Below are 10,952 nucleotides of genomic sequence, written 5' to 3' on the forward strand. Positions count from 1 at the left end.
AGACTCTTCTCAAACTCCTAAGCTCAAGAGATCTTCCCACCTTGGCCTCCGAAAGTGCTAGGATTACAAGCATGAGCTACCACGCCAGGCCAATGCTGAGATGTTTTAAGTCACTTTCTCATTTGTGAGGTTGACAGACTCATGAACACTTCCAGTCTTAAGGGTTTTCCTAGACTGGGCTCGGTGGCTCACGCTTGTAATCCCAGCACTTTGGGAGGCTGAGGTGGGCCGATCACGAGGTCAGGAGATCAAGACCATCCTGGCCAACATGGTGAAACTCCATCTCTACTAAAAATACAAAAATTATCCTGGCGTGGTGGCACACGCACCTGTAGTCTCAGCTACTCGGGAGGCTGAGGCAGGAGAATCGCGTGAACCCGAGGGGGAGCTTGCAGTGAGCCGAGATCGCGCCACTGCACTCCAGCCTGGGCGACAGAGCAAGACTCAGTCTAAAAAAAAAAAACAAGTCTTCCCTTTGCATGTTTTGGTCATGAAAGAAAAATAATGAATACTATGTACTTAAAATTATAACCTACTGTTCCCCATCTGTAAACACCCTGTAACTCTGTAAAATACTGAATATACAAATCAAAGCACACTATTTCACTGCGGCAGGTTCTTCGGTACTCGGTTTGGACACTGCAGATAACCTATATCCTGTTCTTTCCTTCACCGTGGGAGACGAGGTAAGCGGCTGAGCTTGTCCTTCTAAACGAGATTGGGATGGCGGGGGTGTCAGAGGAGGGTTTCAGGTAGCCCAGAAATTCTTTAAATTGCACCTAGATTCCTTGGAATCGGTAGAAGTCTTTCTCATGCATTATACTCTGAAGTTAAGAATATGCTCACCAGAGGCTTGGCGAGGTGACTCATGCCTATAATCCCAGCGCTTTGGGAGGCTGAGGCGGATGGATCACTTAAGGTCAGCAGTTTGAGACCAGCCTGGCCAACATGACAAAACCCCATCTCTGCTAAAAACACAAAAATTAGCCGGGCATGGTGGCTCACAGTTCCAGCTACTAGGGAGGCTGAGGCAGGAGAATCACTTGAACCCAGGAGGTGGAGGTTGCGGTAAGCTGAGATTCCACCACTACACCCCAGCCTGAGTGAGATTCCGTCTCCAAAAAAAAAAAACGATAGCTTTAGTCAGCTTTAAGGAATGTATGAGGCTAGGTACCGTGGTCACGCCTGTAATCCCAGCACTTTGGGAGGCCAAGGTGGGGAGATGGCTTGAGGTCAGGAGTTTAAGACCAGCCTGGGCCTAGCATAAAATTTTTTTTAAAAAACGGTGATAAAATATATACAATATAACAGGCCTGGGTGTGGTGGCTCACCCCTGTAATCCCAGTACTTTGGGAGGCCGAGGCAGGCAGATCACCTGAGGTCAGGAGTTTGAGACCAGCCTGGCCAACATGGCGAAACTCTGTCTCAACTAAAAATACAAAAATTAGCCAGGTGTGGTGGCTCCTGCCTGTCATCCCAGCTACTCGGGAGGCTGAAGCAGGAGAATCGCTTGAACCCAGGAGGTGGAGGATGCAGTGAGCCAAGATTGCACCACTGTACTCCAGCCTGGGCAACAAGAGTGAGACTCTGTCTCAAAAAATAATAATAAAAATAAAAAAATTTTAAATTTAAACATTAAAATTTAAAAATTTTTGTGGGGCCAGGCACGGTGGCTCATGCCTGTCACAGCACTTTGCCAAGGTGAGTGGATCACTTGAGGTCAGGAGTTTGAGACCAGCCTTCCCAACGTGGTGAAACCTCATCTCTACTAAAAATACAAAAATTAGCTGGGCGTGGTGGCAGGCGCCTGTAGCGCCTGTAATCCCAGCTACTCAGGAGGCTGAGGCAGGGGAATCGCTTGAACCTGGGAAGTGGAGGTTGTGGTGAAATGAGATCGTGCCATAGCACTCCAGAGCTGACACTGTCTAAAAAAAAAATTGTGTGTGTGTGTGTGTGTGCATAGTAGATGTATATATTTATGGGCTACATGTAATGTTTTGATACAGGCATGTAATATGAAATAAGCTCATTATGGAGAACGGGCATCCATCCCCCCAGGCATTTATCCTTTGAGTTACAAACAATCCGATTACATTAAGTTATTTTTAAAATATACAATTAAGATATGATTGACTATAGTCACCCTGTTGTGCTATGAAATAGTAGGTCTTATTCACTTATTCATTCTTTTTTTTTTTTTTTTTTTTTTTTTTTTTTTTTTTTTTGAGACAGAGTTTCGATCTTGTTGCCCAGGCTGGAGTGCAGTGGCGCCATCTCAGGTCACTGCAGTCTCCACCTCCCGAGTTCAAATGATTCTCCTGCCTCAGCCTCGTGAGTAGCTGGGACTACAGGTGCGTGCCATCACACCAGGCTAATTTTTTGTGTGTTTTTAGTAGAGATGGGGTTTCGCCATGTTGGCCAGGCTGGTCTCAAACTCCTGACCTCAGGTGATCCACCCGCCTCCCCCTCCCAAAGTGCCGGGATTGTAGACGTGAGCCACCACCAGCCCATTCTACTTTTTTTTTTTTTTTTTTTTTTTGAGACAGAGTTTGGATCTTGTTGCCCAGGCAGGAGTGCAGTGGCGCCATCTCGGCTCACCACAACCTCCACCTTCCGGGTACAAGCGATTCTCCTGCCTCAGTCTCCCGAGTAGCTGGGACTACAGGCGCGCGCCACCATGCCCGGCTAATTTTGGTATTTTTAGTAGAGACAGGGTTTCACTATGTTGGCCAGGCTGATCTCAAACTCCTGACCTCGTGATCCACCCACCTCAGCCGCCCAAAGTGCTGGGATTACAGGCTTGAGCCACCGCACCCGGCCGGCTCTACTTTTTTTTGTACCCATTAACTATCCCCACCTCCCCCCACAAGCCTCTACTACCAGCCTCCGGTAACCATCCTTCTAGTCTCTTTTTTTTTTTTTTTTTTGAGACGGAGTCTCGCTCTGTCGCCCAGGCCGGATTGCGGACTGCAGTGGCGCAATCTCGGCTCACTGCAAGCTCCGCTTCCCGGGTTCACGCCATTCTCCTGCCTCAGCCTCCCGAGTAGCTGGGACTACAGGCGCCCGCCACCGCGCCCGGCTAATTTTTTGTATTTTTAGTAGAGACGGGGTTTCACCTTGTTAGCCAGGATGGTCTCGATCTCCTGACCTCATGATCCTCCCGCCTCGGCCTCCCAAAGTGCTGGGATTACAGGCGTGAGCCACCGCGCCCGGCCCCTCCTAGTCTCTTAAGTCCATGAGTTCACTTATTTTGACTTTTAGATCCCACAAATAAGTGAGAACATGCGATGTTTGTGTTTGCTTTGTTTTCTTTTCTTTTTGAGACGGAGTCTCGCTCTGTCACCCAGGCTGGAGTGCAGTGGCACGATCTCGGCTCACTGCAAGTTTCGCCTCCTGGATTCACGCCATTCTCCTGCCTCAGCCTCCTGAGTAGCTGGAACTACAAACGCTCGCCACAACGCCCAGCTAATTTTTTGTATTTTCAGTAGAGACAGGGTTTCACCGCGTTAGCCAGGATGGTCTCGATCTCCTGACCCCGTGATCCGCCCGCCTCGGCCTCCCAAAGTACTGGGATTACAGGCGTGAGCCACCGCGCCCGGCTGATGTTTGTGTTTTTGTGCCTGGTTTATTTCACTTAACATAATCTCCAGTTCCATCCATGTCGTTGCAAATGGCAGGATCTCATTCTTTTTGGATGGCTGAATAGTACTCCTTTGTGTATAAATACCACATTTTCTTTTTCCATTCTTCTGTTGATGGACACTTAGATTTCTTCCAAATCTTGGCTGTTGTGAACAGTGGCGCAATAAATATGGCAGTGCAGGTATCTCTTCGAGGTACAAAATTCCTTTCTTTGGGGTATATACCCGGCAGTGGGATTGCTGGATCATATGGTAGCTCAATTTTTAGTTTTGTGAGGAACCTCCAAACCATTTTCCATAGTGGGTGTAGTAATTTATGTTCCCACCAGTAGGGTACAAGGGTTCCCTTTTCTTCACATCCTTGCCAGCATTTGTTATTTATATCACAGTTCAAAAAAATAATGTAATATACCAAAAACGATTGAGTTGTGGGGAAAAAAAAATATAAGTGCACTAGAATTTATGCAACTGAACAGGAACTGTCTAGTTTGTTGTCTTTTTTTTTTTTTTTTTTGAGACAGGGTGTCATTCTGTCACCCAGGCTGCAGTTCAGTGGCGTGATCTCGGCTCACTGCAACCTCCACCTCCCGGGTTCAAGCGTCAGCCTCCCGAGTATCTGGGATTTACAGGCGCAGCCGTGCATTGAAAGTAATGGTAAAAACCACAATTACTTTTGTGCCAACCTAATACCATCCCACACCAGTGTCCCACAGTCACACCCCCCCTTGTGGTTAAACTTTCTCTCAGCAGCTGTTGAAAAGTTTTTCCTCTCTCCGATAATTCTGCTGATGGCCGCAAGCATTGGGCTTCTGTTTTCTGTGGCAGGAGCAGTTCTGCTCTTAAAAGGGAAGGATGTCCCAGGCAACTTTAGGGATATGGGTTTAAAAAAATGTTTTAAAGGGAAGGCTTAGGTGCGTTAGCTCTGTAATCCCAGCACTTTGGGAGGCTGAGGCCTGAGGATCGCTTGGGTCCGGGAGTTCAAGACCAGCCTGGGCAATGGAGTGACACCCCTCCCTATCTCTGCAAAAAAAAAAAAATAAAGACAATTAGCTGGGCACAGTGGTGCATACCCGTAGCTCCAGCTACTCTGGAGGCTGAAGTGGGAGAATTGCTTGAGCCCACTTGGCTGAGGCTGCAGTGAGCTGAGATCACAGCAGTGCACTGCAGCCTGGGTGACAGAGTGAGATCCTGTCTCTAAAAAAAGAAAGTAAAAGAGGGTGGGGAGGGAAAAGAGAGAGAGAAAGAAAGAAAGAAAAAGAGAGAGAGAGGAAAGAAAAAAAGAGATAGAAGAAGGAAGGAAAGGAAGGAGAAAGAAATAAAAAGAGAAGAGGAAGGAAGGAGAGAGGGAAGGAAGGAAAAGGAGGGAGGGAAGGAAGGAGGGAGGGAGGGAAGGAAGGGAGGGAATGAGGGAAGGAGGGGAGGGAAGGAGGCAGGGAGGGAAGGAAGGAAGGGAGAGGGAGGGAAGGGAGGGAGGGAATGAGGGAAGGAGAGGAGGGAAGGAGGCAGGGAGGGAAGGAAGGAAGGAGGCAGGGAGGGAAGGAAGGAGGGAGGCAGAGGGAGAGAGGGAAGGAAGGAGGGAGGGAAAGAGGAAGGGAGGGAGGGAGGGAAAGAGGGAGGGAAGGAAGGAGGGAGGGAGGGAGAAAGGGAAAGGAGGGAAGGAAGGAAGGAGGGAGGGAGGGAGAAAGGGAAAGGAGGGAAGGAAGGAGGGAGGGAGGGAGGGAGAAAGGGAAAGGAGGGAAGGAAGGAGGGAGGGAGGGAAGGAAGTAGGGAGAGAGGGAAGGAAAGAGGGAGGAAGAAAGGGAAAGGAGGGAAGGAAGGAGGGAGAGGGAAGGAAGGAAGGAGGGAGGGAGGGAGAAAGGGAAAGAGGGAGGGAAGGAAGGAGGGGGGAAAGGAAGGAGGGAGGGAGAAAGGGAAGAGATAAAGACCAGGGCCAGCTCTTAACCAAAGGGAAAAGGGCGAAGCAAGTCTGTAGGGCTCAAGAAGGGAAGCCTACAACACCTAGTTATTGTTACCTGGAGACAAATGTGCAACGATCTGATCCCAGCTGGGGTGAACAAAGAGAAAATAGACCAGCAACCCAACGCGTTATTGGTGGCCTTTGGAAAGACCTGACCCCCAGTCACCAGTTTAGATCCCTTCCCAGGGGAAGTGAAACTCCTCCTTTTTGGTTATGGGGCGAGTCCCCTTCATTGCTCCACTGCCGCCTTCTCATCTATTCCAGAAAACATCCTGGGTATGGGCTCGCTCTGTCACCGCAGGCTGGAGTGCAGTGGCGCGATCATAGCTCCTGGTGCACCAACACGCCCAGCTAATTTTTATAATTTTTTTGTAGAGACCGGGTCTTGCCATGTTGGCCAGGCTGGTCTTGAACTCCTGGGCTCGATCCTCCTGCCTCAGCCTCCCAAAGTGCTGGAATTACAGGTGTGAGCCACTCTGCCGGGCCCCCACTTTATTTATTGTCCCTAGGGTAAGAGCATGTCAACCTTGATGCTATCACACAAATTATAGACTGAGACGCATATAGCATTCTTGCCTGTTCTGGAGGGCTGCCTCTCATTATCTTGCTGGAACATGCATCCTCTTTTCCTATGACGGGCAAGCCCTGGGTCTGGACAAAACAGTGCAGAGATCTACCCCTCTCCCAGCTGTGCAAGACCAGACTTATTGGCTGGGTGCCGTAGCTCACGCCTGTAATCCCAACACTTTGGGAAACTGAGGCAGGTGGATCACCTGAGGTCAGGAGTTCGAGACCAGCCTGGCCAACATAGTGAAACCCAGTCTCTACTAAAAATACAAATATTAGCTGGGTGTGGTGGTAGGTGCCTGTGATCCCAGCTACTAGGGAGGCTGAGGCAGGAGAATCGCTGGAACCCAGGAGGCAGAGGCAGAGGTGAGCCGAGATCATGCTACTGCACTCCAGCCCGGGTGACAGAATGAGACTCCATCTCAAAAAAAAAAAAAAAAAAAAAGACCACGCTTCTGTCTGTAAGATCGTTTTGCATATGAGGTCCTTTCACAGACCATTTCCCTCCAGCACCTACCAGTGCCCAGGCCCGTGAAGGAAGCAGGGAGCTAGAACAGAGCAGGTAGGCTGGGTGCGATGGCTCATGCCTGTAATCCCAGCACTTTGGGAGGCTAAGGTGGGAGGATCACTTGAACCCAGGCATTCAAGAACAGCCTGGGCAACACAGTGAGACCCCATCACTACAAAGTTTTAAAATGAGCCAAGCACAGTGGCCTGCACCTGTAGTCCCACCTACAGGCGAGGCAGAGGTGGAAGGATCACTTGAGCCCGAGAGTTGGAGGCTGCAGTGAGCTATGATCTTGCCGCTGCACTCCAGCATAGGTGACAGAGCAAGACCCTGTCAAAAAAAAACAAAAACAAACAAACAAAAAACAAAAACCAGAACAGACTGGGTGCAGTGTAATCCCGGCACTCTGGGAGGCCGAGCAGGCAGATTACTTGAATCCAGGAGTTTGAGACCAGCCTGGCCAACATAGTGAAACCCCGTCTGTACTAAAAGTACAAAAAATTAGCCGGGCGTGGTGGCAGGTGTATGTAATCCCAACTACTCAGGAGGCTGAAGCAGGAGAATTGCTTGAACCCGGGAGGCAGAGTTTGCAGTGAGCCGAGATCGCCGCACCGCTCTCCAGCCTGGGTGACCAAGCAAGACCCCATCTAAAAAAAAAAAATGAGAAAAAAAGAAAGAAAAAGAACAGCAGGTAAGTCCTGTCCAGGTGCATAGTCTGGGGCTGGAGGGAAACAGATGCAGGTTTGTTCCCATTGTGTGAGGAGGAGCCAGTCAGGGGGTCCCAGCAAGGAAGCCAGGCTTTGGCCTCTGGGTTCAAATCCAGCTTCACCTCTGTGAGCCTCTGTCTTCTTACCGGTTACCGTGGGAAGGAAACGTGGTCCTGAATCCAGTGCACTTGGCATTGCTGGATGGAACAAGGGAGGGTGGCGGTTGCTCGCACAGGCACAGGTCTGGGCGTCTGATGGCCCTAGCTTCAGTCCTAGTCCGGCCACAGAGGGAGGCAGGGTGAGCTCCTGACACGGACGCCTGCAGAATCTCTCAGAACCGGTCTCTGGAGCATGTGCTACCCTCCTTGTCCACGAGGTGGCAGCAGCGGGCCTAGCCGCTCGTCTCCGCGGCCACCTCTTTCTGGCCAGGCCGGGACACCGCGGCCAAGGCTAAAAGAGAAACCTAGCCCCAAGCTGAGAGTGGGACCCCAGAGCCAGGGTCCCAGGCCTAGAGGCGTCCAGGACTGGGGGCCAAGGTTCTGAAATGCCAGACATATAGGAGGTGGGGGACCGTCATGCTCTTCCCTGGTGTCTCCAGCAGGTGGGATAAACACCGGGTTCAATGGGACCAGGCGCGGTGGCCTCACGCCTGTAATCCCTGCACTTTGGGAGGCTGAGGATGGAGGATCGCTTAAGGCCAGGAGTTCAAGACCAGCCTGGGCAACATAGTGAGACCTTGTCTCTACAAAAAAAAAAAAATACAAAAATTAGCTGGGCGTGGTGGCATGCACCTGGGGTTCCAGCTAACTCTGGAGGCTGAGGTGGGAGGATCGTTTGAGCCTGGGAGGCAGAGGTTGCAGTGAGCTGAGATTGCACCACTGCACTCCAGCCTGAGTGACCGGGTGAGACCCCATCTCAAAAAAAATTTTAAAAAAGGGGAAAGAACAGCAGGTAACCTCTATCCAGGTGCACAGTCTGGGGCTGAAGGGAAACTGTTGCAGGCTTGTTCCCATTGTGTGAGGAGGAGCCAGTCAGGGGGTCCCAGTGAGGAAGCCAGGCTTTGGGGTCTGGGTTCAAATTCAGCTTCACCTCTGGACCGAGTGAGACCCTGTCTCAAAAAAAAAAAAAAAAAGCAGGCGAGGAATAGAGACAGAGGGTCAGACAGCAAGAGTCCCAGAGGATGAGACAGATGGACACAGAGACAAAGGATGCGGGATGTAGGTGGGCAGGGCAGGGACAGAGAGACCCCTGCAGAGGCCACGAGGGCAGGGCAGATGGAACAAGTGACCAAAGACAGGTGGAGGAGTGGACGGCACGAGTGTCAGAGGCTGCAGACAGCGAGGGCGCTAAAGGGTGGGAGAAGGAAGGAGAGCCCTGCTCCACCCCAGCCTTGGGGGTCTCATCACCCCACTGCACAGATGAGGCTCCTGGCATCGGGGTGCAGAGAACGGCTCATAGCACAGGCAGAGGGACCACAGCCCACTCCTGCCCAGCGGTGCTCCTGTGCCCAGCCCTGGGGTGGACACCGTGGCTGCCATCCACACAGACATGAGGACCGAGTGAGATAGTTCCCTGTGGAGGCCAGGATGCTCTGGCACCTGAGGTCAATAAAGCCACATCCCACAAGTGGGTGGACTGCCTTGTGCTATTGACCATTAAACAGCTGCCCAAGGCCATTGAGCTATTAATTAAATAATAATTATTATTATTTTAAATTTTTTTGTTGTGTTTTTTGGGTTTTTTTGTTTTTGTTTTGTTTTTTTGAGATGGAGTCTCGCTCTGTTGTCCAGGCTGTAGTGCAGTGGCACGATCTTGGCTCACTGCAAACTCCGCCTTCTGGGCTCAAGTGATTCTCCTGCCTCAGCCTCCCAAGTAGCTGGGATTACAGGCACCCACCATCACACCCGGCAAATTTTTGTATTTTTAGTAGAGATGGGGTTTCACCATTTTGGCCAGGCTGGTCTCAAACTCCCGACCTAAATAAGGTGATCCACCTGCCTTGGCCTCCCAAAGTGCTGGGATTACAGATGTGAGCCACCACGCCCGGCCTATTTATTGTTTTTACAGACAGACAGGGTCTTGCTGTCCCCCAGGCTGGAGTGCAGTGGCAGAGTCACGGCTCACTGCAGCCTCCAACTCTTGGGCTCAAGAAATCCTCCCGTTTTGGCCTCCCAAAACACTGGGACTACAGGTGTGTGCCACCACACCCAGCTAATTAAAAAAATTTTTTTAGAGATGGGGTCTCGTTCTGTTGTCCAGGCTGGTCTCAAATTCCTGTTCTCAAGCGATCCTCCTGCCTCAGCCTCCAAAAATGTTAGGATTGCAGGTGCAAGCCACTGCACCTGGCCTCTATCTCCCTGTTTCTTGCTCTCTCCCCATCTGTGTGTGTCTCTGACAGTCTGTGGCTCTCTGTATCTTTCTGTGTGTCTCTCTGTGTGTGTCTTGGTCCATCTCATGCCCAGCTAATTTTTAAATTTTTTGTAGAGATGGGGTTTCACCATGTTGGCCAGGCTGGTCTTGAACTCCAGACCTCAGGTGATTCTCCTGCTTCAGCCTCCCAAAGTGTTGGGATTACAGGCATGAGCCACCGTGCCTGGCCCATGGGTATGAATTTCTGCCTGTGTGTGTCTTCTTCTTTTTTTTTTTTTTTTTGAGATGAAGTCTTGCTCTGTCACCCAGGCTGGAGTGCAGTGGCGCTATCTTGGCTCACTGCAACCTCCACCTCCTGGGTTCAAGCAATTCTCCTGCCTCAGCCTCCCGAGTAGCTGGGATTACAGGCACCCGCCACCACACCCAGATAATTTTTGTATTTTTGGTAGATATGGGGTTTCACCATGTTGGTCAGGCTGGTTTTGAACCCCTGACTTCATGACCTGCCTGCCTTGGCCTCCCAAAGTGCTGGGATTACAGGCATGAGCCACCGCGCCCGGCCCATGGGTGTGAATTTCTGCCTGTGTGTGTCTTTTTAGCGTATGTGTGTCTCCATATCTGCCATCTGCAGGAGCACCTCAGTTTCATTATCTTGCTCCCTGTCTATTGGAGTGTATCTCTCTTCCTCTCTGTGTGACTTTTTGTGTTTATGTGTGTGTTTAGTGTGTGTCCATATTTTCCTGTTCTCTTGTGTCTCTCTGCTGTGTCTCTCTCTTTTTCTTTCTGTTTTTTGAGACGGAGTCTCCCTCTGTCACCCAGGCTGGAGTGCAGTGGTGCGATCTCGGCTCACTGCAACCTCTGCTTCTGAGGTTCAAACGATTCTCCTGCCTCAGCCTCCCGAGTAGCTGGAATTACAGACACATGCCACCATGCCCAGCTAATTTTGTATTTTTAATAGAGACGGGGTTTCACCATGTTGGCCAGGCTGGTCTTAAACTCTTGACCTTACGTGATCCACCCGCCTCGGCCTCCCAAAGTTTTTGGATTACAGGTGTGAGCCACCTCGCCCGGTCCTATCTCTCTTTCTTCTCTTTCTCCCTCTCACTTTGTTTCTCTTCTCTCTCTCTCTCCCGCCTCCTTCCCCCGTCTCCCCTCCCTTCCCCCCACCGCCCTCTTCATAGCTGAGCCTGTCCGGCAGTGCG

The 10,952-nt window shown here is 50.7% G+C and overlaps 3 annotated features.

Moving 5' to 3' along the window:
• Positions 4,661-4,750: an enhancer, noted in NCBI's record as "active region_26140". NCBI's record gives its function as "activates an Ori minimal core promoter by ATAC-STARR-seq in GM12878 lymphoblastoid cells {active_cell/tissue: GM12878}" and the evidence as "EXISTENCE:reporter gene assay evidence [ECO:0000049][PMID:35858748]".
• Positions 10,491-10,600: an enhancer, noted in NCBI's record as "active region_26141". NCBI's record gives its function as "activates an Ori minimal core promoter by ATAC-STARR-seq in GM12878 lymphoblastoid cells {active_cell/tissue: GM12878}" and the evidence as "EXISTENCE:reporter gene assay evidence [ECO:0000049][PMID:35858748]".
• Positions 10,881-10,930: a silencer, noted in NCBI's record as "silent region_18274". NCBI's record gives its function as "represses an Ori minimal core promoter by ATAC-STARR-seq in GM12878 lymphoblastoid cells {active_cell/tissue: GM12878}" and the evidence as "EXISTENCE:reporter gene assay evidence [ECO:0000049][PMID:35858748]".

This window comes from Homo sapiens, chromosome 7 (genome assembly GCF_000001405.40).
Source record: "Homo sapiens chromosome 7, GRCh38.p14 Primary Assembly".
Lineage (NCBI taxonomy): Eukaryota > Metazoa > Chordata > Mammalia > Primates > Hominidae > Homo > Homo sapiens.